This window comes from Homo sapiens, chromosome 5, assembly GCF_000001405.40.
Source record: "Homo sapiens chromosome 5, GRCh38.p14 Primary Assembly".
NCBI classification, from domain to species: Eukaryota; Metazoa; Chordata; class Mammalia; order Primates; family Hominidae; genus Homo; species Homo sapiens.
In genome coordinates this window covers 43287470-43313435 of record NC_000005.10, presented here as the reverse complement: position 1 = coordinate 43313435, position 25966 = coordinate 43287470, and the positions used below count along the sequence as shown (strand labels likewise).

General features: G+C 38.7%; 1 protein-coding gene across 10 annotated transcripts, besides 3 other annotated features; it reads left to right on the top strand.

The window, feature by feature from the left end:
• On the top strand, positions 24-25966 carry HMGCS1 (3-hydroxy-3-methylglutaryl-CoA synthase 1). Of its 10 annotated transcripts, none has more exons than NM_001098272.3 (11): positions 24-80; positions 5612-5670; positions 14461-14918; positions 15302-15427; positions 16270-16434; positions 17519-17684; positions 18575-18745; positions 19274-19380; positions 20463-20588; positions 20799-20962; positions 22216-25966. In NM_001098272.3, the coding sequence occupies exons 3-11, from the start codon at positions 14471-14473 to the stop codon at positions 22303-22305; spliced, it is 1563 nt and encodes a 520-aa protein (NP_001091742.1). In that variant the 5' UTR covers positions 24-80; positions 5612-5670; positions 14461-14470; the 3' UTR covers positions 22306-25966. The 10 variants fall into 10 exon arrangements, with proteins under 10 accessions (NP_001091742.1, NP_001311149.1, NP_002121.4 ...); NM_001324220.2 differs by having other exon boundaries at positions 5592-5670; NM_001330663.2 differs by lacking the exon at positions 24-80 and adding an exon at positions 255-414.
• Positions 115-254: an enhancer, noted in NCBI's record as "active region_22536". NCBI's record gives its function as "activates an Ori minimal core promoter by ATAC-STARR-seq in GM12878 lymphoblastoid cells {active_cell/tissue: GM12878}" and the evidence as "EXISTENCE:reporter gene assay evidence [ECO:0000049][PMID:35858748]".
• Positions 7197-7256: an enhancer, noted in NCBI's record as "active region_22535". NCBI's record gives its function as "activates an Ori minimal core promoter by ATAC-STARR-seq in GM12878 lymphoblastoid cells {active_cell/tissue: GM12878}" and the evidence as "EXISTENCE:reporter gene assay evidence [ECO:0000049][PMID:35858748]".
• Positions 11535-11829: a silencer, noted in NCBI's record as "tiled region #4627; HepG2 Repressive non-DNase unmatched - State 14:Gen5'". NCBI's record gives its function as "represses a minimal TATA promoter and a strong SV40 promoter by Sharpr-MPRA in HepG2 cells {active_cell/tissue: HepG2}" and the evidence as "EXISTENCE:reporter gene assay evidence [ECO:0000049][PMID:27701403]".

Below are 25966 nucleotides of genomic sequence, written 5' to 3'. Positions count from 1 at the left end.
GCTGGTGGCGAAGGGGAGGCGCCGCGGACTGTCCTTTCGTGGCTCACTCCCTTTCCTCTGCTGCCGCTCGGTCACGCTTGGTGAGTGTCCCGCGCTGGGGAGTAGAACTGGGCTGCGGAGGTGCCGCGGGCGGGGTGTGGGCCAGACAGAGGCGGTGTCCTTGACTAGGCCCGAAGGAGCTGGGGCTCTGGGTCAGGACGTAGGCGTGGACTTTGCCCGGGAGGATGGGGCACCGTGAGCGGGGCCGGGCGGGGGTTCCCTCGTGAGGGACCTGAGGCCGACCGTAGCGGATCTGAGAAGATCCGAGAACACAGGCGAGTCGCGGAGGGGAGAACGCGAGAGGGCGTTGAGGTCTAGGTATTCTAACGACAGAGGAGTTGGAGGTGCCAGAGAGGCAGCTGTGACCGCCTAGAGGTGAGTGGGGGGTGTCAGGAGGGGGAGAGAAGACAGTTGGGCTACCAAGGCGTTTCCAGAGCGTTGGTTAAGGGTGGACGCCAAAGGATGGGCAAGATCCTCTTTAGACGGAGGCTGGTAGGTTCGCAGGGGGTGTGTCCTGCTGCCACATATAGAGTTGATGGAAAGAAGGGAAGTGGGTAGCATTACTTTTCTTCCTCAGCTCAGGTGCAAGAAAGCGTTCACAACCGTGATTTAGACCTGGCTAAGTACTGGGGCTCAGTCTGTACTTGCTTCAAATCTCATAGATCACTGCCTCCCGCCTTCCTGCCTCCATATTTTTTTTTGTCTACGTTTTAAAAAATAGGCTTCCTTGGTGTTCTGAAATCCCACATCTCTCTCCTACTAATACCTTCGGGACCAGCTTTAGGTGATACAGTGTAATGGGCAGGCACTCACAGAGTCCTCCCACAAATAGGTTTTGGATTAAGCTAAGGATATTTCAAAGCAAGTATATGGAGTCTTTGAAAACCCACGTCTGGCCTTGACCAGTGGTAGAGAAACGATTATTCTGATCCACTCTGGAGGAGGGATTTGGGGAACAAATAATGTGAGGTTGTGCCTGTTTGTCATGCTTGTCCCTATGGCCTTAGCCTTAAGGCATCAGTAGCTGCTTTCACTGCTCACCTCTGCTGCAGCTCCCCACCTTCCCGAGGATGCTCTTGCCACCTGCTGCAGTAGGATGATGTGTTCTGGTTGCTGCTAACTAACATTTGCTCTGTTTTAGGCATGAATATGAAAAACAATGACAAGATAAACAACAAAATTAAGACAAATGGAAGTGCTCCTAGAGTTAACAGATTTTTCCTTCTGAGATGTGTTTTGGACTTTATTGCACAGATACTATTAGATGAGAGGCAGTTGAAAGTCGTTAACATTATCCGTGTCAGTAGTTCTTTGCACTTGAGACACCTAAGCAGCTTGTGTTCTTTAAACTTTATTTTAAAATTGCAGTTATTTTTGTGTGAAGAAGGGGGCAGGGATAGCATACCTTATGGGAAGAGAGAAAGGCTTTCTTTGTGTCTACCTTTGTAGATATTTCTCACCTAAGTTTGTAAGTTTGCCCTTTATTCGGTTCTACTTTAGTTCAGCTCAATTCTAGTATAATCATCAGTAACCCCAGCACTCAGAAGGTCTGACTTACGCTGTGGGGAGGGAGTGTAAAAGGATATTTTATGTTTGGAGCCATAGGCCACATCATTTGGGCCTTGTTTTAATTTTGTTTTTCATCTTAAATATCCCTCCAGATTGCTTTTACATCTTGTTTCTTTTAACTGTGGATTGATTTTGAGATTTTGACTTAGATTTTAGATAGCTTTTCTCAGAAGAAATAAACGCAAAAACCCGATATTGTTGTAACATCAGTTTCCTGTGTCCTCTAGAATCATTTAAAACCTGGTTGGATCTTCCATAATCCAGTGGAATTGGATATGAGATGTAGCTGGAGAAGTTTGTTTTGCTACATATCAGAATCTCCAATTAGTTTCATTTAGAAAGGAATATAGCCTTATAATTTTATGCTGGGTTACTGTGGAACCAAATATCATAGAAGGATGTGTGATATTTTTATGTTTTTCAAGAAGGTAGTATAGATTTAAAAGGTGGGATACATATTACCTGTCCTAATGATAGGACTAGATTTTTTTTTTTTTTTTTTTTTGGGGAGACAGAATCTCGCTCTGTCGCCCAAGCTGGAGTGCAGCAGCGTGATCTCGGCTCACTGCAACTTATGCCTCCCAGTGATTCTCCTGCCTCAGCCTCCCAAGTAGCTGGGACTACCGGCATGTGCCACCACACCCAGCTAATTTTTTTGTATTTTTAGAAGAGATGGGGTGTCACCATGTTGGTCAGACTGGTCTTGAACTCCTGACCTCAAATGATCCGTCCGCCTTGGCCTCCCAAAGTGCTGAGATTACAGGCGTGAGCCACCATGCCTGGCTAGAACTAGACTCTTAATCTCTTCATCCTAATGCATGGCGTGTGTTGATGTTCACTTAATGTCTGTCAACTGGGTGTAGTTACACCAGTAGCGGAGAGGCTAATCTTTGAAAGCCTGAAGTGTTGTCTTCATCTTTGCAGGGTTTTTAGTTGTGGGTGCATATGGGAATGATTGTAAGACCAACAAATGTTTTCTGATTCCATATGGGCTTCTTACATTTTTCACCTTGGAATCTGGGAACAATTGAAACCTACCATATGCCTTGAACAGTAGCAGTAAAGAGCCAGTTTCTTTAAACTAGACATTATGGTGCTGCAGCTCATCTCAAAACTGATAGCAGGCTACTCTGGACACACTACATATAGAGTAGCCCTGCTCTGCAAGGAGCAGTAATAAATTAAAAAAAAAATTAAAAAGTGATAGCAGAAAGCACTTACTACTGAGGGCTGCTACAAGTATTAAATCTAAAAGATTTGTCCTCTAGTAGTTATAACTCCAAATTCAGCCACTGAAAAATGTGACATTTGAGTACCCTTTACTTCAAGGTCTCAAAGGGATTTCAAAAAATCAAAATATATAGCCCCTCTCCCAAAAGAAGTGTAGGAATCCTGTATGGATAAGAAGACTGCCCATAACTAGTTTTCCATAGAGAGTAGGCTATGTAGACTTGGGTATGAATGACCTACCTCTGTAGAAGTGCAGGTCCCTGATTAGAAAACTTATTTTCTGTGTGATTTATCGAGGAAAGCTTCCAGGAAGAGGTGACTTAGAACAGGGCCTTGAAGATGAGTAGAATCTCTGATACGCAGACCAGTAACTCTGGGAGGAGGCAGGGATGTCCATGCTTTTTACTTGGAGAACTATACCAGAGTGTACAGGTTTGAGCAAGTCTTTCTTAACATTAGTTTTTACTTGCTTGCTCCTAAGGAGGAAAGGTTGCCAACTTGTTCTTAATTTCCTAGATTTATCTCCTGTAACAATGAGAAAGATCAATAGGTAACTGTTTATATTTTATAGTTTACATACCAAAATGTGTAGGCAATGAACTTCTCCAACCACTTCTTTGAATCAAGGCTAAGGAGGGAGCCAGAAGGAAGTATTCAGAACACTGAGTAAACTCCAGAAGAAACTACCATTGCATAAATCTGGTTGGCCCTAGGCAGTCTTATCATTCTTGTGTTTTAGTCTTTGCCAGACTCAAAGTGCCTATATTTCATCCCATGAGTCTGCAAACCTGCTTTGTGGTAACCTGCCTGGCTACTTGCCATTCATTAACTGCTTCTTGACCCATGTTGATTCCCTCTGTCACTTACTCTGAAAAGACCTGTTAGAAATAAGCTTGTGATCTGCTTGAGACTTTGGCAATACTGGTTTAGCCAGAATAGAGAAATCCTTAAGTAGCACAGCAATCCTTTCTGAATCTTCTATTTGTTTCTTCTTTGTTCTCTGTGTCTCTCCCACCTAACATCCCTCTCCAATTTAAGTAATCAAAATAGAAAGAGGGGCCCAGGCAAGGTGGCCCACGCCTATAATCCCAGCACTTTGGGAGGCCAAAGTGGGTGGATTGGTTTAGCCCAGGAGTTGGAGAACAGCCTGGGAAAGATGGCAAAACCCCATCTCTACAAAAAATACAAAAATCAGCTGTGTATTGTGGCATGTGCCTGTAGTCCCAGCTACTTGCGGGGTCTGAGACAGGAGGATCACTTGAGCCTGGGAGGTCGAGGTTACAGTGAGCAGTGACTGGAATGCTACTGCATTCCAGTCTGGGTGACAGAGGGAGACCCTGTCTCAAAAAAAAAAAAAAATTTGAGGGAATATAGGCAGTGCAAGGAAAGGCAGAATATAGGCAGTTCAAGGAAAATTTCCTTGATACAAGTAGTGTCAAATGCATATACATACATGAACATCAAGAAGAAATATTATTATTTAAGTAGTCTTAACATGGAGAAGGAATCTTGTTTTTCAAGAACTGGTCTCTGTGGTCTGCTTAATTTGCAGAAGACAAAGGCATAATTTGAGATAATAAAGAACAAAGATAGGTTATTTTCTCAAAGTATGTATAATTACAGTTAATTAGAGACATTTTTGGAATATTGTAGTATTCTTTGCCTACAAAACTCAAGATCTATTTCTTTTTATGGGGCAGGGGGGCGTAGGTGGGTAGTAAACTTAGTTAATGAAGTAAAAGGCGCTACGACTGAAGAGCTCTTAAATTATGTAATTATGTAAAAAAAGTAAAGCTTTATTAAATATTAATAACATCCGAATGTAGTTACCAGTGAATCCATTAAGGGCAGATGCTAAATTTGCCAGTAATTAAATAGAGAGCAGAGGAAATGGTGTATGCTGTGTTAAACATAGAAGTTGCCATCTCAAGTAACAATCAGTCTTTCAAAACAGATGGACTGAAGAATATGTTCCAGTCACCTTCGCAAATTATTTCTACTTAATTTACATAATAATGTTTAATGCTCCTTTGTCTAAATGCTTAATTTTTTAACATAAGCAGTAAGAGGGAAAATCACTTTATAAAAGGTTGGGAGGGTGAAGGTGGCAGTGTTGAAAATGATTAGGTCTTGCTAGAAAAAATACCTTTATTTTCTTTGAAAAACACTTATAAGAACTATAAGAACTAAGGTAATAGTCAGTGTATTGGTGCTTTGTGTTACAAAGTGTCTTCACATATTTTATCATCTCAGCAATCCTTCACAATGATCTGGGGAGGGCAACTGTATTAGCTTCATTTTATAGATGAGGAAACTGAGGTCCAGAATTGCTGCCAAAGCCACAATCTGTTACATGCAGTGCAGGCTCTTGACTGCATATATCTCTTTACTCTAGAAATTTGCTAACTCATTACAACTTGTTTATATTCCTTTCCCCCAATTCTTGAAAACCTTGGTTTAAAGCCTCAATTGGTGACATGGGCTTCTTATTTCCTTGAGGTTTTTTTGTTTATTCCTTCCTGCAATAGTAGGCTTCTTATATCCGTTTATTACCAGGACTGAACCTTTCACTATAAGGGCTATGAAAATAAGGGGGAAAATGTTCTATAAGCTTTAAGTATGATTTTTTCTAAGCAAATGTCAAATTCTATTCTGCATAATGTAATTGGATAAGGAATTGCTTATTTTAACTCACTTTGAATTGGATTCATTAGTATTTGAATTTGGGTAGTGATTTATAACTTTAAAAGCAGTTCTTGTTTGAAATTCCTAGTGCCCGAAGGAGGAAACAGTGACAGACCTGGAGACTGCAGTTCTCTATCCTTCACACAGGTATGACATCCTGTCATGCTGCTTAAGGAAAGTATTCCTCTCTAATGGAAGGAGGAAACTTGGTATCCTAGAGAAAATAACGATTTGTTTGTGCCATATGTTCTTAAAACCCCTTTTAGGGTTCTACCTCATCTTTAAAATTCTGTTAATGCTTTAATGCTTCAGGAAACTAATTTTATGTTTATTAGACTAATGTTTAAAATCTAGAAACAAATTTTAAAAATTAGTGTTCACTCATAAGAGAAAAAGTACTTATAATAAAATGTAATTACATGGACTACTTAATCAGAAACAATCAGAGGTAAACATGACTGCCATTAGTGCTTTTTAAATTATGGCCTCAAAAGATATGTATCTGGGCTGTGGATGAATGTTTAAAATTATGTAAGAATGGGCCAGGCACAGTGGCTCACGTCTGTAATCCCACCACTTTGGGAGGCTGTGGCGGGTGGATCACCTGAGGTCAGGAATTTGAGACCAGCCTGGCCAACATGGTAAAACCCAGTCTCTACTAAAAATACAAAAAAATTAGCCAGGCTTGGTGGCAGGTGCCTGTAAGTCAAGCAGCTCAGGAGGCTGAGGCAAGAGAATCGCTTGAACCCAGAAGTCGGAGGTTGCAGTGAGCTGAGATTGCGCCACTGCACTCCAGCCTGGGCAACAGAGTGGGACTCTGTCTCAAAAAAAAAAAAAAAAAAAAATTATGTGAGAATGGACAGTAATTTCAAATGTGTTTCAACTGGTAATCTAATTATTTGCAGCCATTGCTTTCTCATATTGTCAGGGAGTGCTTCTCTTACAATTCTGCTTTTTTTGTATTTCAAGATTATGATTTCCTATGGGTGTTAATGACTTTAGATTAGAAGTCTAGTACCATTTCATTTATTCAACATTAGCATCTACCATATGCCAAACAGTGGGTTGGGTACCGGGGACACAAAAATGAACAAAGCACGGTTCCTGCTCTCCAAAAGCTCCTTGTTTAATGCAGAGAGGCTAAGCCTAAATAATAGAGGAGAAACTTGGCAGTTTGAAATATAAATTGAATTTTCCTTATCTGAACAATGCTTGGGACCAGCAATGTTAAAGATTTTGGATTTTTCTGGGTCTTGGAATATTTGAGAAAACATACCATTTGAGCAGCCCTAATCTGGAAATCCAAAATCCAAAATGTTCCAATGAGCATTTCCTTTGAGCATCATGTTGGTGCTCAGAGAGTTTCAGATTTTGGAGCATTTCAGATTTTAGCATTTTTGTATTAGGAATGCTCAACCTGCAGCATCTTGACAATGGTTAGACATGCAGTTTGGAAAAAACTGTTGGCCTATGACAGAGAAGAGAGCAGAGGCAGAGCTCACTTAGGAGAGACTGATGCTGAAGTCCTTCCCCAACACAGCCATTGAGGAGCTAGGTTAGGACTTCCCTTGCACCAGTATCATCAGCTAGTTTCCCTCCCCCTTTTTTCCCCTTTCCAGTTCTCTTTCATTTCCAGATTTATTCTCAGAATAACTATATAGGTCTTTTATGTATTCTAGGCAGGAAGCATTCAGAAAACATTAACAAGGCTTCCTTATCTTGCTTTACTGATTCTGGAAATAGCATATGGAGTTTCTTTTGTCCACCAGAGGGAGTGAGCCTTCACTTTAATGAGACTTATTTAAGACTTTAGTCCTCTGTTGGTACTACTTTGTTGGAAGACTTGAAAGGTTTACAAAGTTCTCTGAAAGTTGCCTTTTCTCGCCTTTTTTAAGGATAGAATTTAAAAAGAAAATGTGTGTATTTTATTATAAATACAGAGTCCTCATTATTCTCTTTAGACTTATTTTATGGTGAATATAGTACTCTGAAAATAATAAAATGCATTATCTGTAAAAAATTAAAAACGTAATTTTTTTAACCATCAGATTTTTAAAATTATGTTCTACTTGAAAGTTTTTGTGATTTATCTCTTTTTTTAAATTTTTTAAATTTTTTTTTTTTTTTTTTTGAGACGGAGTCTCACTCTGTGACCCAGGCTGGAGTGCAGTGGCACGATCTTGGCTCAGATCTTGGCTCACTGCAACCTCCGTCTCCCAGGTTCAAGTGATTCTCCTGCCTCAGCCTTCCAAGTAGCTGGGATTACTGTTGCCCGCCACCAAAACCAGCTAATTTTTGTATTTTTAGTAGAGAGGGGGTTTCACCATTTTGGCCAGGCTGGTCTTGAACTCCTGACCTTAAGTGATCCGCCCACCTCGGCCTCCCAAAGTGCTGGGATTACAGGTGTGAGCCATCACACCCGGCCTCTTTATTCTTAAATAGTGAATTAACCAGAATATTCTATTCTCTGGTAGGGTAAAGAGTGAATACCATAATGTGAGCACCTCAGACCTGTAGCTAGTCTTTTTTTCCCTAATTTATATCTAACTATATCTAGCCTATTTCAGAGAGCATTTGAAAGGACAATGTAAGAGCACATGCTCAATAGGATAGTTAAAAGTAACATTTGCTGGGCACGGTGGCTCACGCCTGTAATCCCAGCACTTCGGGAGGCCGAGGCGGGTGGATCACTTGAGGTCAGGAGTTTGAGACCAGCCTGACCAACATGGTCAAACCCCATCTCTATTAAAAATACAAAATCAGCTGGGTGTGGTGGCACCCGCCTGTAATCCCAGCTACTTGAGAGGCTGAGGCAGTAGAATCGCTTGAACCTGGGAGGCGGAGGTTGCAGTGAGCCGAGATCACACCATTGCACTCCAGCCTGGGCAACAAGAGCGAAACTCCGTCTCAAAAAAAAAAGTAACATTTGAGACCAGAAACTATTAACTTTCTGTTCTTCTAAATGTCATGAAAGCAATTATTTCTCTGTATTAATTTTCCTGTCAACTTAATCACTCTCTTTCTGAATTTGAACCAAAGGCTAAATATTTCAGATTAGATGGCTTTTTACCAAGAACATAATGGAAAACACATTGGCTGTCAGAAACCCTCAGAGAATGAGTAATATTGACTGACTTGGACAATGTAAAAATGTTTTTTTCCATCAAAGTCAGAATTGTGTTTCACTTTCCATTTGATGTATGTGGGTTATTTTAGTTAACCTACGTTTTTTGTTTGTTTTCAAATGAAACATGTCATGTATTTAATGTAGGACATTTAGGAGTCATAGAGTTGTATCTTATTTTAGGAGTACTATAATACAAAGAATTGATCAGAGCTGGTCAGACTGTGACAAATACAGATTAATTCTGAAATGGAAGCCTTGCATTATAACTTTTTATAGAGAATTGTACAAGCATTATAAGGATAATTAAATATATTGCCAGTGTTGCTACATGATGCTCTTAAAAGACTAAAGTGAATTTATTAGTGAGTACAAGTATATTGCAAACTGGTTTATACCTTCAAAAAGATATATTCCCTGTTCACTTTATTTCCAATAGTGTTAAAAACCACTGAGCCAGGCAAGGAAGACCATACTGTCTTCAGCATATTTAAAGCAGTTTGAAGAGTTGAAAAGAATCTAAAGGGTAGCCTTGTGGGAAAGGCTGGAAAGGTGGTTACTCCTACTTTGGTGACTTAAGAGATCATATGTAGGAGCTTATAAGCCTATGGACTAGTCTTTTTCTGATAACAGTAGTTGTAGGGCTCTTTCTTGTGGACTATCCAGTATCTTATTTTACTATAAACTTAGAATCCATGCCTAGTGGCATATTAGGCAGCCCTTTTATATTTTCATTTCAAATTCAGCAAAGTGGGCACCAACTTTATCAAAAAATTGATGGGGAGAGTTTGTTGAAGCTCAGAGTGAGGATGGATGTAGAACATTTCAAGTGCTTCATATCCAGAAAATCAGTAGTCCTCCATCTGAGTTGTAGACACAGGAAAGGAGTTGAAGATGAATGGAGTAGGAATGTAAAAGCCTTATCTTTACCCTCCTCAGCTTTAGGTCTTAACAAGAATGAGCCTCCCTTAGTCTTTCTTTATGCCCCTGTCCCTGAATGTTGGTGATGACATTGTTTTTCCTGTATTGAATACAAAAATATGGCCAGTAATTTAGGAATCAAGAGGATATAATTCGGAAGTAGACTGTTGTGTTTAGGAGTTTTTCTTTCCATTGTGGAATTGAGTAGCAGCGGTATATATGCTATGTCTGGTAAAATGGGCCATACAGTAGTCTAAGACATGAGGAGACCTTAAGGAGCTTGGACTTAGTTGAGGTGACCAGACTATTTAATCTGCTTAGGTGCCACAGCAAAATACCATAGAGTAGGTGGTTTAAACAGCAGACATTTATGATCTCATAGGTTTGCAGTCTGGAAGTCAGGGTGCCAGCGTGGTTGGTTCCCGATCAGGGCTCTCCTCCTGGATTGCCCGTGTCCTCACATGGCATAGAGAGAGTATGACAGCATGAGCAAGCTCTCGTTTTATCTTCTTATAAGAGCACTGATCCCATCATGAGGGCCCCATTCTCATGACCTCATCTAAACCTGATTATTTTCCAAAGGCCCCATCTCCAAATGCCATCACATTGAGAGTTAAGGCTTCAACATATGAATTTGGTGGGGAAACCCAGACATTTCAATCCATAATTCAGGCAGATATTTGGGAAGTAACACAGTTGAAGCACTGAATGCTATATTTCGTACTATCTAAAGAATCTAGGATGTAATAAATTTAAGATGCTTCATTGCCAATTAAATTAAGATACAATGCTTTTTTGATTACTTAGAATTTTTTAAAGAGCTCTTTTAGAGTTAGACATAGATTTTTGTCATATGTCACTTGCACATTCAATAAGATGGAAAACACAAGTGAAAAAACACATAAGGAATTGCTAAATTTCACATATTTAGAGTCTGCCTTCTGAATTGTTTTTGGAGTCAGAGTTGTTAATACCTGTAATTTTCCGTTAAACATCCTCTGTGCCGCCAAGAGAATTGGTGATGTAGCATTCCTTTCAAGATCCCAAAAAAGAATGCGAAGGTTTTGGTGCTGGCCTTCAGCTTTGCAATTATGCAAAGCCAGCCTACTTTGACTGCTGCTTAGGGATTCCCCATCTTCTACTTCCTTCCCAGTCCATTTGGTTCCTAGAGGGTGAAATGAATGCTCCAGTATCATTTCTGGGAATTTCTTTCAGGCTGTTGACTGTCATATGCAAATGTCATGCTGGCAGTTTTGTTATTTTCCCATGTGTAAGCAATGACAACATCATAATTGGCTTCTGTCTGATAGCAATTGTAAGAGGAATCCCAATTTCTGAAATGTTACCCAAAAAAGTGACTTTAATTGACGAAGTATGATGATGTAGAAGGATAGGCAAGAAATGCAAAAGGTAATTTAGAAAGGTTTCATGGGTAAAATGTGACCTATGTGATCTAGGGCTATAAAGGATTTCAATAAGCAGAAGCACGAGGTGGGTTGTTGAAGAAAGCACTAAATGTTTTTGGATAAAGAATATAATAATTTGAGAGTAAAGGGTAGAGGGAGGGTTATGTAGGTAAGTAGTTGTAAGATGGGGAAAGATTGGGTAGTATTTAGCATTTATCCTTAATGTTGACTTCAGTGTAGTTCTCTTTGTGTGTTTTCTAGTATAAACTGCATACATGAAAGTTAAGAATCTTGTGTTAAGTCCCATATAGGAAGGAAGTAGATAGGAAAACCAAACTGGAAAAATGTATGGAGATGTTGGTGAAATGACAGGAACGAAAGCAGCTTGTCTGAGCTTGATCTCTTCACTTCCTCAGTGGTGGTTCTGAGCGCTGGTTTGGCTGAACTCCACTTACCAGGGAAAAGGGCATAAAGTAAACAGGGTTTGTGTGGAAGAAGTGGAGTAGAACAAAGTGGAGAGGATCTCTGTTCATTTAGTGTATCTGACAGTGTGCTTGTCAAGTCATAAAACACTTGAGGATGGAAATCTGGAAGTCATTGTATACATTTTCTTCTTTCCCTAACATCTAGTCAGTTACAGTTTCTGCCAGTTCTTTTGCTTTTTCCATGTTTTTGGAGGCTGTTCCTCTTCGCTCCACATGTAGTAAATGCTCTAGTTCATGACCCATGTCTTATCTGGACTGCCATGTCAGCTTCCTAACTCATCCATTCACAGCACCAGTGACTGTAAAACAGCATTAGTGAGGATAAAACAGTGGCTGTCAAACTTTTTTGACTGTGGCCCCCAGTAAAAATACACTTTGTATTGCAACTTATGTATACTTTATATATGTATGAATAATTAAAACAAAAGGTTGATTCAAGAAAAATCTTTACATTTACCCTGTGCCATGCAATCTTATATCTTGTATTCTTTTCTGTTTCATTTTTTTAAATGTGTGCTTGCCATCCACTAAATTGATTCCGGAGTTGGAAAAACACTGACCTGACAACTAATATCACCATGTTATTCCTTAAACTCTCCGATGGCTTCTTACTATCTTCATGATAAATTTGAAGCCCTCAACATCAGCATACCAGAACCTTCATGACCTAACCCTTACCTAGTTATTCTAATCTATTATTTACCTGATCCACTCAGCTCACATTTCATTCCAATAGACAAGTAAAGTTTTTTGTAATTCCTTGTAGCTTGCCTTTCTTCATGGTGTCCACTCTGTTGAAAATCTACTACCCTCCATTTCTTCAGTGCTTTACTGCTTACTCCTACCCATTCCTGGGGCTCAAGTCAGGCCCCTATAACCAGGATGCTTTTCCTAACACTCCTTGCCCTACCACCAGGCTGGGTTAGGTAGTTCTCCATTATATAATGTGGTTCTCAATGTTGTTACCTGTTTATTATTATGTGTTTTTCTCTTATTGTCCCATAAAATAGTGAATATTCGAGAGGATAAGGAAGTCTCCCATTAAGCATCCCTAATGTTTAGTATGTAACATGTTGGCATTGGTTGGATGAATGAGAAAAAAAAAAGATTCTTCTGTTTGGAAGGAAGATACAACTGGTATCCCTTAAGTCTTTTCTTTTTTTTTTTTTTTTTTCCTTTCTCTATAGACAAGGTCTCACCATCACCCAGGCTGGAGTGCAGTGGTGCAATCACAGCTCACTACACCCTTGTACTCCTGGGCTCAAGTGATCCTGCTACCTCAGCCTCCCTAGTAGCTGGGACTGCAGGCATGCACCACCATGCTCAGCTCATTTTAAAAAAATTTTTTTTGTTGAGACAGAGTCTTGCTATGTTGCCTAGGCTGGTCTTGAACTCCTGGGCTCAAGTGATCCTCCTGCCTCAGCCTCCCAGAGTGCTAGGATTATAGGCATGATCCACTGCACCTGGCCCCTTAAGACCTTTAATTGCAGAGCAGCAGAGGACAAATGACATAAATACAGGATTTGACTTTCATTTTTAAGTATCAAATTAGTGATGGGTTGACAAACAAGTCATACAGAATGTTCATGAATCAGTTCGGCCCAGGTAACTCATAACCCAAGACCTTTGGGTCAATGAAATTCTGCCACCTAAGTAGCACCATCCAATGATGTCATACCTAAAAAGGAAATTGAGTTGTAGAATTTTAGGTTTTAGGATTCTTTCTCTAAAACTGAGGAGCTGTGCCACTCTTCAAAGCCTCACAATTACATTTCATTGGTTCTTATGCCATCTGGGTTCTGGTTAGAGGGCTGATGGAAGTACTCAAGAAATATTGGAAGTACTCAAGAAATATTAGAAGGTGGGAAGAAGGTACCTCTCTTGTTCTTGTCAGTGGCAGCACCAACAGTGGGACTTTGGGTCTCTGGGTTCCAGCTCAGCAGCAGAGGTACTAGTACTGTAGCTCCAGCAGCTTCAGCAGGAGTGCAGGCTCATGGGATCAGAGAACCACCTTTTCCGCTTTGTTCTTCCAGCCCAGCCAACAAGTTTGTAGCTATTTCCCTGCATTAAAACTCCCCTCTGTTTGAAATATCTATAGTAATTTTTCTTTTCCTGACTAATACAACCTGTTAAAGAAGCTGAAGCTCTGGTAAGTTAAATGCCCAACAATGGTCTTGAGTAGCTAGTGATTTTTGTTGCTATTGGTAAGTAAATCTAGACACTACTTTTTAGTCCCTTTTTTAAAAGAGGACTGGTTTATCTATGATGAATACATGATTGATTGATTGATTGATTGATTGATTTTTACTTTTTCTTTTTTTTTTTTTGAGACGGAGTCTTGCTCTGTCACCCAGGCTGGAGTGCAGTAACATGATCTCTGCTCACTGCAAGCTCCTCCTCCCGGGTTCACGCCATTCTCCTGCCTCAGCCTCCTGAGTAGCTGGGGCTACAGGCATCTGCCACCACGCCCGGCTAATTCTTTTGTATTTTTAGTAGAGACGGGGTTTCACCATGTTAGCCAGGATGGTCTCGATCTCCTGACCTTGTGATCCGCCTGCCTCAGCCTCCCAAAGTGCTGAGATTACAGGCATGAGCCACCACGCCCGGCCTAATTTATTAAAACTTTCGGGTGGTCAGGTAATTCTGATTTGTCAGCCATATTTCTAAATTATCATTGTATTTTATCTTACAGTTCTTTACAATGTAGAAAATCTTATTTGAGTGTTGTTTACCTCTAATAATCATGTTTTAAATCTAGAGATGCCCAATTTTGAATAAAATGGAAGCCTTTCTAAAAGACTATAATTTTAAATGATAATATTCCATTCATATAATAATTGCTACTTCACATGTACACAATTGAGTGCCCTAAATACTAAACTTAAAGAAACTAATACTTCAGGTGATTGCTAAACTCTTAATATCTATTTCTCAATTTCAAAGTTGAAAACCAGCAACTTATAACCTAAAACAATTTTTTTTCTGTTTCTCCTTTCTAAAGCTCTTTCACCATGCCTGGATCACTTCCTTTGAATGCAGAAGCTTGCTGGCCAAAAGATGTGGGAATTGTTGCCCTTGAGATCTATTTTCCTTCTCAATATGTTGATCAAGCAGAGTTGGAAAAATATGATGGTGTAGATGCTGGAAAGTATACCATTGGCTTGGGCCAGGCCAAGATGGGCTTCTGCACAGATAGAGAAGATATTAACTCTCTTTGCATGACTGTGGTTCAGAATCTTATGGAGAGAAATAACCTTTCCTATGATTGCATTGGGCGGCTGGAAGTTGGAACAGAGACAATCATCGACAAATCAAAGTCTGTGAAGACTAATTTGATGCAGCTGTTTGAAGAGTCTGGGAATACAGATATAGAAGGAATCGACACAACTAATGCATGCTATGGAGGCACAGCTGCTGTCTTCAATGCTGTTAACTGGATTGAGTCCAGCTCTTGGGATGGTATGTTACATGCCTATTCCCCGCCGTCCCCCAAAATTTTTTTCTAAGGTTCAATAGACCCAGATGACACTTTAATTAATGCAATACGCAAACTTTTGTAATTTGTCCTTGTTTGGATATATTAAGAAAGATATTTTACCTGTCTGTCATTATCCGAATTGTGAATTGGTTATCTTATCTTGTAGGACAAATGGTCTATTCAAAATTTAGTCAGATGGATGACAGAGCCTTGGCAGATGAATTTTAAAAAAAAATTAGAGCATTTTCTTTCTTTATCAAAGAAGGGAAAAGCATATTCTGGGGAAAATATAACAGACTTCAGTTTCCATGTTTGGTTATAGTGTTGAATTCCTTCTTGTGAAATAACAAAAAATATTTTTCAGGACGGTATGCCCTGGTAGTTGCAGGAGATATTGCTGTATATGCCACAGGAAATGCTAGACCTACAGGTGGAGTTGGAGCAGTAGCTCTGCTAATTGGGCCAAATGCTCCTTTAATTTTTGAACGAGGTAAGTGCTTGGGAAAGCATTTTTGTTTTTTTTAGCACAATATGCTGAGAAATTTGAAAATAGAAGTAGGAGCTGTCGCTTACTTAATGGTCATTAAATGCAGGTACTACTTGCTAAGAGCTTTATGTGTGTTATCATATTTATGTTTTTTTTTCTTTTTTTTTTTTTTTGAGACCGAGTTTCACTCTTGTTGCCCAAGCTGGAGTGCAATGGCACGATCTCGGCTCACTGCAACCTCTGCCCCCAGGTTCAAGTGATTCTCCTGCCTCAGCCTCCTGAGTAGCTGGGATTGCAGGCACACACCACCATGCCTGGCTAATTTTTTGTATTTTTAGTAACAGGGTTTCACCATGTTAGCCAGGCTGGCATCGAATTCCTGACCTCAGGTGATCCGCCCCCCTCAACCTCCCAAAGTGCTGGGATTACAGGCGTAAGCCACCATGCCTGGCCTGTATTTAATCTTCATAGCAGTTTTATGAGGTAGGTGGTGTCATCCCCACTTTACAGAGAAGTGGGTTAATGTAGGGTTCAAATGATAAATAGTAACTTGCTGATAGTCACTGGCAATTTTAATTTGTCTTCAGTGTAGTAGAGTAACTGTGAACTGTTAGAGTTATGAAACTGACATGGAAAGTTGTATACCAAAGGAGTCTTAGGACTGTCCATGGATACTGTTATGTATCATTTCACTTATATTGGCTTCAGCTTGCGATTTCTCTACTGTAAGTGGTGAGAATTGATCAGATAGTTAAGGAAGGTCCTTAGATAATGCAGTATACTTATTAACATACAGACATCAAGAAGCAGAAATATATAGACATCTTCCTTTTTGGTTCTAATAGGGCTTCGTGGGACACATATGCAACATGCCTATGATTTTTACAAGCCTGATATGCTATCTGAATATCCTATAGTAGATGGAAAACTCTCCATACAGTGCTACCTCAGTGCATTAGACCGCTGCTATTCTGTCTACTGCAAAAAGATCCATGCCCAGTGGCAGAAAGGTAAGTTTTACCCATTTTCCTTGGTTTTGGTATGAGTTGAGAGCAGTCTAATGTACTAGGTATCTTTGGTAGGCAACTACTTTGTGGGCATTCTTCATTTAATATCCTTTTACCATTAATTCCTCATTCACCAAACAACATTTTCCCATAGTTTCTGGGAAAGTGTAATTTACTAGAAGAGGTAAACTTTGGAACTGAGGTGTATCTCTGCAAAAATATTTAGGTCGGTTTACCCCTTGTAAGAAAATCAAAGTGGAGAAAAGAAGGTAAGTTGAATTTTGTTCATCTTTTGAGAGAGGTATTTTAACAAGGTTTTGGACTACAGCTGTGATTCAGGGAAAGCTAATGAAAATGAATTACTAAAGTGATCTTACCCCAAAAATAATCTTTTTGCACTTGACCTGTGAATTTGTATTTGTTTTTTTACTGTTATCATTAATCTGGAAATTTGTTGAGGCACTGAAAGGACAGTATTTGAGTTAATGCTATCATAACACATTATTACATAAAGTATACTTTTTCTGTAGTCCAACTTTGCTTTTTAGAGGTTATGAGAAGGGGTTAAAAATCATATTCAATGACAAATATCAGTGAATTTAGTCGCTCTGGATAAGAAGCATTCTTGCAGTATATATTAACAGAATAGTGGTTTTCTAACTTTTTTATTAGGACCCACAGTAAGAAGTACATGTTACATTGTATGTGTATGCCAGACTGAAACAAAAATGTCATGACATTACTTACCCTTGCTGCAAGTTATTCAGTTTGCTATTTTTCTACTGCATTTTGTTTTTTAAAATACTCTTTTATTTAAAAAAAATACTAATCCTGACCCACTAAATTGATTATGTAACCTGCTAATGTGTATGAATCTTAAATTTGAAAATTAGTGACATAGTACATATTGTTTCATCTTTGAGTGTCTTTTTAAATGTATACTTTAAGGTATAGAGAGGTTTCATTATACAGTGTATTTGTGGTTGCTGTTTAAACATATACAAATATCCTAGCTTTATTCTAAAGTCAAACTTTAAAATTTCATGGCTTATATGAATTTCATAGTTTCCTTGGACTTCTCTTTCAGAGGGAAATGATAAAGATTTTACCTTGAATGATTTTGGCTTCATGATCTTTCACTCACCATATTGTAAACTGGTTCAGAAATCTCTAGCTCGGATGTTGCTGAATGACTTCCTTAATGACCAGAATAGAGATAAAAATAGTATCTATAGTGGCCTGGAAGCCTTTGGGTAAGAGGAGCTATTATGAGTTTTTTCCTTCTATATTAGAGCATTTTTAATATCTGTTAAGCTGTTATTTGTACAGACCTGAGAAATTGAGAGTCAGAAGAATCTTAGAAGTCATCCAGTCTAATCTGTGTGTCTCAGTCAGTGAAGAATCTAAGTCCAGAGAGGTGGTAGTTAACATGCACAAATTCTTTAGACATTTCTATTCAGATTTTCTGATTTATTTCTTTCAGCTCCATTCATGTTGTCACGATAAAGTAACTGCACAAGGGCCTATATTCACTACAGCAGCCTCTTAACTCCTTACCTCTCTCAGCACCCCTGCCCCCATGCCCTTTTCCATCCTGCACACTGCCACAGCTAAAGTCAGCTTTTGTACTCCACCTGTCTTTTTCTCACTTTAGGCTCCCTAGCATGCTATGTGTGTTCAACTCGTTCTGTTTCTCCCTGTGTCTCTTGTGTGTCCTTTCTCTATCTGATAAAATTATACTTGACTTTTAAAACTTGGCTCCTGTAATACCATGACTTTTCTAACTAAATAAACATTATTATGGACTTGAAATAGTATTCTATTCAGTTGATGAATATTCAGTTGATTGAATATTCTATTCATTGAAGCCAATATAAGTGAATATAAATATAAAGCTACAGTGCGTCTTTTAACCTATTCAAATCAAGCAGGCTTAACTTGATTATGAAAACTTTTGAGAAAAAGAACCATATATATACAACTGTTATGATTTCTATAGCAATTAGATTGCTGCTACTTGGCTTTTAATAAATGAGAAAACAATTATATACACTTAAAGATTTGAATCCTAATTAGGCCTGCTGTTTAGTGTAATAAAAACATAGGCTTTAAACACTGTAAAACTGTAAAATAAATCTTTCAGGGATGTTAAATTAGAAGACACCTACTTTGATAGAGATGTGGAGAAGGCATTTATGAAGGCTAGCTCTGAACTCTTCAGTCAGAAAACAAAGGCATCTTTACTTGTATCAAATCAAAATGGAAATATGTACACATCTTCAGTATATGGTTCCCTTGCATCTGTTCTAGCACAGTAAGTATAAATTTCACCTACTACTTAACTCCCCTTATTTGGGAGATGTTAGATTTCTAAGACCAAATCTAGTGTCAAGCATGTTGGTGGTAGATCACAGAAAATTTTATCTTGAGGCTCTCTAATCTGCTATTGTCCATTGACTTGAAAGATGTATGGGTTGAGGCTACAGTTCTTCCAGAAGTATTTGTTAATTTCATACTGGCTTTCCTGGCTTCTGTTTTCATGGTTTTTTAATTCTTGACCTACAGTTGAACCATAAATACCTGGTTGATGAAGTAACTTGTTTTGTGGCATGACTTTCACAAGCTCTGTCATTCCCCACAAGATGAAAACTCACATGCTGCAATATTAAAACTAAGTTATATTCCCTACTGCAATATTAACACTTTGAGTTAGATCCTTAAAACTTTAAGTTAGATTCTACTTTTACTTATAGCCTAAATTTTTATTGCTACTTTTATAGCTTCCCACACGCTGTAGCTTTGGATCAGTTAAACTTCTGAACTATTGTTACACCCTACATAGGTACTCACCTCAGCAATTAGCAGGGAAGAGAATTGGAGTGTTTTCTTATGGTTCTGGTTTGGCTGCCACTCTGTACTCTCTTAAAGTCACACAAGATGCTACACCGGGTAAGTGCTGAATCTTTCAACAAGAATGTATTGAGAACTGAGTCCAGGCACAGTGGCTCACACCCGTAATCCCAGCAGTTTGGGAGGCCGAGGCGGGCAGATCACCTGAGGTCAGGAGTTCGAGACCAGTCTGGCTAACATGGCTGAAACCCCATCTCTACTAAAAATACAAAAATTAGCCAGGTGAGGTGGTGCATGCCTGTAGTCCTAGCTACTTGGGAGGCTGAAGTAGGAGAATCACTTGAATCCAGGAGAGGGAGGTTGTGGTGAGCCAAGATCACACCACTGTGCTCCAGCCTGGGTGACAGAGCGAGACTCTGTCAAAAAAAAAAAAAAAAAATGTATTGAGAACTACTCTGGGGAAGTTGATTTAGCAGTCTTCTCAAGTGAGCACCTGAATCTGTCCCACAGATCATTACAATATTTTAGTCTTCATTACTTCTTTCAGTAGGTTTTTACTCTCTGCCCTAAAAATCTATCCAAAAAAAAAAAAAAAATTCTACCTTATCTGGATAAAGGATAGGACTAAGTTATCTAATTTTTATAGGCTTATGGTCTTGGCTATATTTAAGGTCACTTTTGTGCTTTCCCTGAGCAGGAAAGAGCAAAAATGTAGAGATAAACTGATGAAAACTTGACATTACTTTTTAAAATTATACCATGGGCCAGGTGCAATGGCTCACACCTATAATCCCAACACTTCAGGAGGCTGAGGTGGGAGGATTGCTTGAGGCCAGATGTTCAAGGCCAACCTGAGCAACATAGTGAGACCCCATCTCTATAAAAAATAATAAAAATAAAATAATTGTACCATGGATTAATTGTAGACAAGTTATTTATAGTTTCAAATTATGCCTGTTTCCTAACTTGTCTAGTGGCAGATACTCAATAATAGATTTCTAGTCTGACATCATAGGAGATTTGTCAAATAGGTATCATCTTATCTTTTAACTAATCAGTAGCCAGTAGTTTTAATGAAAATGAAAAGTTGTTTTGCCTCATTTGGCAACATTTTACTTAGGCTTCTTTTGGACATGATTTTTCAAAAAAATCTTTTAATGTTGAATTATTCACTATTTTAGGGTCTGCTCTTGATAAAATAACAGCAAGTTTATGTGATCTTAAATCAAGGCTTGATTCAAGAACTGGTGTGGCACCAGATGTCTTCGCTGAAAACATGAAGCTCAGAGAGGACACCCATCATTTGGGTAAAAATATTAAATGTTCTTTAAGTTAACCCATTTGGAGGGCTGATATCATTAAGGATGCTACATATACGATAAGGATATCAAGACTTTACTCAGTACTAATCTGATGTCAGTGAAAATTATTGGGATATATGAAACTTATCTTTAGCTTTATTACCAGATGAATTGTATATCATAACTAATTGTAGATATTCTCTCCCTTTCCTTTAGTCAACTATATTCCCCAGGGTTCAATAGATTCACTCTTTGAAGGAACGTGGTACTTAGTTAGGGTGGATGAAAAGCACAGAAGAACTTACGCTCGGCGTCCCACTCCAAATGATGACACTTTGGATGAAGGAGTAGGACTTGTGCATTCAAACATAGCAACTGAGGTAAATAAAAGAGTTCCCATCTCCATATCTTAGGGTTTAGGAGACCTAACTGGGATTTAGCAACATAAATAAATGTCAGTAAAGAAGAGTAAGGGCTCTGGGAGTAGATTCTAGCTGTACTATTTCCAATTGTATAAAGTGCTTTGCATTTGAATTATTAATATTTTAAGAATATACAGTAAAGGCCGGGTGCGGTGGCTCACGCCTGTAATCCCAGCACTTTGGGAGACTGAGGCAGGCAGATCACGAGGTCAGGAGATCAAGACCATCCTGTCCAACATGGTGAAACCCTGTCTCTACTAAAAATACAAAAATTAGTTGGGCTTGGTGGCACGTGCCTGTAATTCCAGCTACTCAGGAGGCTGAGTCAGGAGAATGGCTTGAACCAGGGAGTCAGAGGTTGCAGTAAGCTGAGATCACACCACTGCACTCCAGCCTGGCGACAGAGCAAGATTCCATCTCAAAAAAAAAAAAAAAAAAAAAAAAGAATATACAGTAAATACTAGGTTTTATTAATGATACCAGGATTTAAAGGAAGACTGATATAGAGAGAAGGTTCATTTGTGGTGTGTGTCTTTGTGAGAGATGGAGTAGAGGGACAAGGATCCTTTCACATCTCATCCCAGATCATGGTCAAAATCTGTCCTCAAATTGTCAAGAAGTAACAATCATAGCTATGATTTGAATTCCTGTTACCTGCTAGGCACTTTACTTACGTTTTCTTATTTAATCCTTACAACAACCTCCTTGAAGTTTATAAATGATACTGTCCTCCCTTTAGAGATGAGCCTCCAAGAAGTTACATTACTTGCCCAGGATTATAGGTAGTAAGTATTAAAGCCAGGTTATAAACTAAGGACTTTATAACCTTGAAACTACTTATTTATCTGCTTACTACAAGTTTGGTAAATGGATAGTCTTGCTTTTTGCTATTATACAAATTAGGTAGCAAGTCAAACCGCCACTGTTTGAGTTGCAAATACAAGACGTAACAAGTAAAATACTGTTACGTGGTGGGTCTCTGTGGCAGGCTTCCTCTCCCCCCCATATGGATAATTGTATACTAAATTCACCATAAGGTGAAAAATGGATATTGAGTTCCCTTCATGAAAAGTTATATAAAATATATATTTAGCATAAACTTCTCCAGAGTTGTCCTTTATTAAGTTTCTTTACAGAAACTTTAATTGGTGCCATGATTCTTGTGGGGGAAAGAATCATAAGAGCCATCAACTTTTTTCCTTTCATTTTAGCATATTCCAAGCCCTGCCAAGAAAGTACCAAGACTCCCTGCCACAGCAGCAGAACCTGAAGCAGCTGTCATTAGTAATGGGGAACATTAAGATACTCTGTGAGGTGCAAGACTTCAGGGTGGGGTGGGCATGGGGTGGGGGTATGGGAACAGTTGGAGGAATGGGATATCTGGGGATAATTTTAAAGGATTACATGTTATGTAAATTTTTATGTGACTGACATGGAGCCTGGATGACTATCGTGTACTTGGGAAAGTCTCTTTGCTCTATTTGCTGACATGCTTCCTGTTGTGGTCTGGCCAATGCCAAATGTACTCGAATGATGTTAAGGGCTCTGTAAAACTTCATACCTCTTTGGCCATTTGTATGCATGATGTTTGGTTTTTAAACATGGTATAATGAATTGTGTACTTCTGTCAGAAGAAAGCAGAGGTACTAATCTCCAATTAAAAAATTTTTTAACATGTAAGAATTTTGTACTTTGAACAACAAGATTACAGAAAGTACCTGTGGTTTTTGGAAAACATTTCTAGCTTGGGGAATGTGACAACATTCCCCAGTGTGGTAAAATTGGGGTAAAATGTGGTAAAATGTGATACGCACAAACCCTTTGAAAATAGCAAAACAAACATGCCCTTTTTCTAAAATTGATAAATCCTAAAGAGGAAGAAAAGAGCTGGGACAATAAAACACTGGCTCTGGAATCTGGAATGTTAAGTCCAGGCCAGCAGTGACAAAAGTTATTGTAATGACCTCTGAACAGAGAAACACTGCCATTGAAGAGGCTTCTGGTATAGAAAACATGGTACATTCAGGAGCTGTGAATATAGCTCTAGGTGTGCTCCTGAATCAGTTCATGGTAGATTATGCTGAACAACAGTGAGATGTTATTGGAGGTGTGGATGAGGGAGTTTGTTGTTGCAGTCCTTCTTTGCACCTTATTTTAAAGAATAAATGAAACATTTTTCTGGTTACTTTTTTAAAAATTTAAAATGGAAGGGAAGAATAGGGGCAGGGCATTATTAGGCTATTTCTGATGCTTCAGTGTTATAAATTCAACATAGAGGCTGACAACCTAAATTCATGGTGTAACACAGCTCTTTTCCTTTTCCTTTTTTTTTTTTTTTTGGTATCTGTTCAATGAAAATAAGGTATGACCCAAGTTTTTACCTAGTCTGACTAGAAGTATTCCACTTCAAGGTCTGAAGTAGGACTTTTACCTTAAAAAACAACAACAAACAAAACTATCACACAGGATAGATAAGAAGATTGGTTAAACAGTTTTGTGTAGATCTTTTTGGTGCTGAACTATGACATGAGCCTTATAGATTGTAAAATAGGGATAGTTGGAACTAATGTACAGAACTAAATTTTTTAAACTTTATTTGCTGTTAAATTCTGTGAAGTTTCAGTTATCTAAAATAAATATACACAAATATGAAATATAATGTTTCAGATTGCAAGGTAATATGTAATAGTAGTGTTTGTAAGATACTCTTGTCTAATATTAACTAGTAGTATTTTGATTTGTACAGTCATAATTTGTTAAAATGACTTCATTTAACATTCACTGATGTAGATTAATAATGTAAGTTCTGATTTAAAGAATGGTGGCAAAATGGTGCATGTAATACTTTTGCAAGTGTTGGGGAGATCGGTATGTTTTGAAAAGAGTAATTTAACTTTTGGGTGCCAGGAAATGGGTTTTCTCAAAGTCCATTGCCGGCAATGGGCAGGCCTGCAAATACTGGCACAGAGCATTAATCATACACCTTATTAACGGTGAGGTGAATAACTTTGAAATAAAGTTTTAGAGAAATGTTTCAGATACTTGAGTATTCTTTTTCACTCTTGAACTAACAACTTCGGCAAGAAATCAGCTAATATTCTATTTTTAAATATGGGCATTAATTTCATTTCAGTTCGTTCACTCATTCCATTCATTTATCATTTCACAAACATTTGAAATCCTAATATAAGCAAGGTGCTCTGTTTAAGGCAGAAATTTGAAAATGTACAAGATATATGGTCTTGTCTTTAAGGAGCTGTTCATCTAGAATGGAGGAATTTACACTGATAATTATTCCTACACTTGAAACAAAGAAATTAACTCTCAAATTGCGTGGCAAGCATATATAGACTTTGCTATAAATATTTATGAAATGAGTTACTGTTTTCCTTAAAAAAGCTAAGACTAAGGGCTGGCAATCAAATAAGAGCAAATTTAGTGGTGAACGTAGAACTGCCCACTACCAGCTAGAGTCTCCAACCTAAAAGTCCCATGTTGCTAGTGATCCCCAGGGGTTTTATAGAAGGAATCCCTGCATTGGCAGTAATTTTGGATTAGATGATCCCTAAGAGCACCATCAAGTCTTAGGATTCTATGAATTAGGAAATAAACCAAATTATATATTTTCTAATACTGATCAGCTCATATTTTATCATCATGTCATGTCTGGCTTTCATACTTAGTCATAATTTACTTTCTGGGTCATTTAGAGGCTAGCGTTCTCTAAGGTCACTTCTGCTTGCACATTGTAGGATATTATTTAGTATGGCTTTAAGAATTCAATCTTTCCCCCTCTCCTTTATGGAATGTGTGTTTCCTCTATTTGTACACTTAACCTTTTGTCCTAAGTTTTTATTTTTATGGATACTAATGAGTAACTTTGAGGTTGACACTAGACCCAAACAGATGCAAACAGCCACTTTCTGTCCTCTTGTGACACAGTTGAAACACTTTATCTCTTGTCTGCTGTTTGGAGTGTCCTGAAAGAAACACTGAAGTGGCAGTCAACAGAGCAAGGGTAACAGGATCTTTAAATAATTTAAAGTTGTCTGATCTTGACATAAAAGTGAACCCTTTCTTTAAAATTTCTAGCAACTGCTCTTAAGTCATAGGTTCCTCATTTTTTCTTTGCTGGTAGTGGGAGAAAATAGTTGATCTGTGATTTTTGTTTTCATCTCCCCAAACTATGTTATAAAGGCAGTAATTTGATGCTGAAGATTATGATTAGAAATCCTCAGATGGGTTATATATTGGGGCTTTATCTTTTAATATTAAAAAGAATGTCTTTCCTGGACTACTTTATTCAGTAGTAAGCACTATTCATTCTATGTATATTCCTTATTCAGCCTTGCAGACTCCTGTGGGATCTGATCTCTTCCTGCTTCAACTCAGTACCATACTCACCAAGGCTTAGTATGTCTTCACCCACTCTCCCTTCTCTTGCATTCCTCAAACATGCTGAGTTTATTCCAGCCTTAAGCCTTTGATCTACGCATCAGAAATGTTGGGCCCCACTTCAGATCTTCTCTGCCCTGCCTTCTACTCCAGTCACTGCTGTGGTAACTAATTCCATGAAGTCTTTGACCAGGTTCTCAGAGAATATGATAGTACCTCTCTTTGGATTCTAGCTGTATACCTTTCACTTCAGCCTCCCTGACGTGGAATGTCTGCAGAACTTGTTTGGTACTCCCAATTGCACAGCCCAAAGGTGCAGGGGAGTTAGGTGCCCATGGGGCCATCCTTGACCTAGGTGGAAAGTTGCTAGTGGATAACTGATTACTCTTTTCATCACCTGGGCAGACAGTTCTGAAATGCATTTCGTAAGTCTCCTCAAAAGAGGAGGAGACTTCTGTGGCGGGTTTGGCAATAACCATCCTTATATTGGCTTTCCTCTTTTGTTTCACTCCTGTGCATCTCTCTTGCATCCTGGGATCGCTTCTCAAATAAATGACTTTCATTCAA

Bases quoted from the DNA above. Each gene is read 5' to 3' on its own strand.
- HMGCS1 (NM_002130.8), top strand. From the start codon at position 14,471: ATGCCTGGATCACTTCCTTTGAATGCAGAAGCTTGCTGGCCAAAAGAT. The intron at 14,919-15,301 runs GTATGTTACATG...AATATTTTTCAG, and splicing joins TGAGTCCAGCTCTTGGGATG to GACGGTATGCCCTGGTAGTT. The intron at 19,381-20,462 runs GTAAGTGCTGAA...TCACTATTTTAG, and splicing joins CACACAAGATGCTACACCGG to GGTCTGCTCTTGATAAAATA.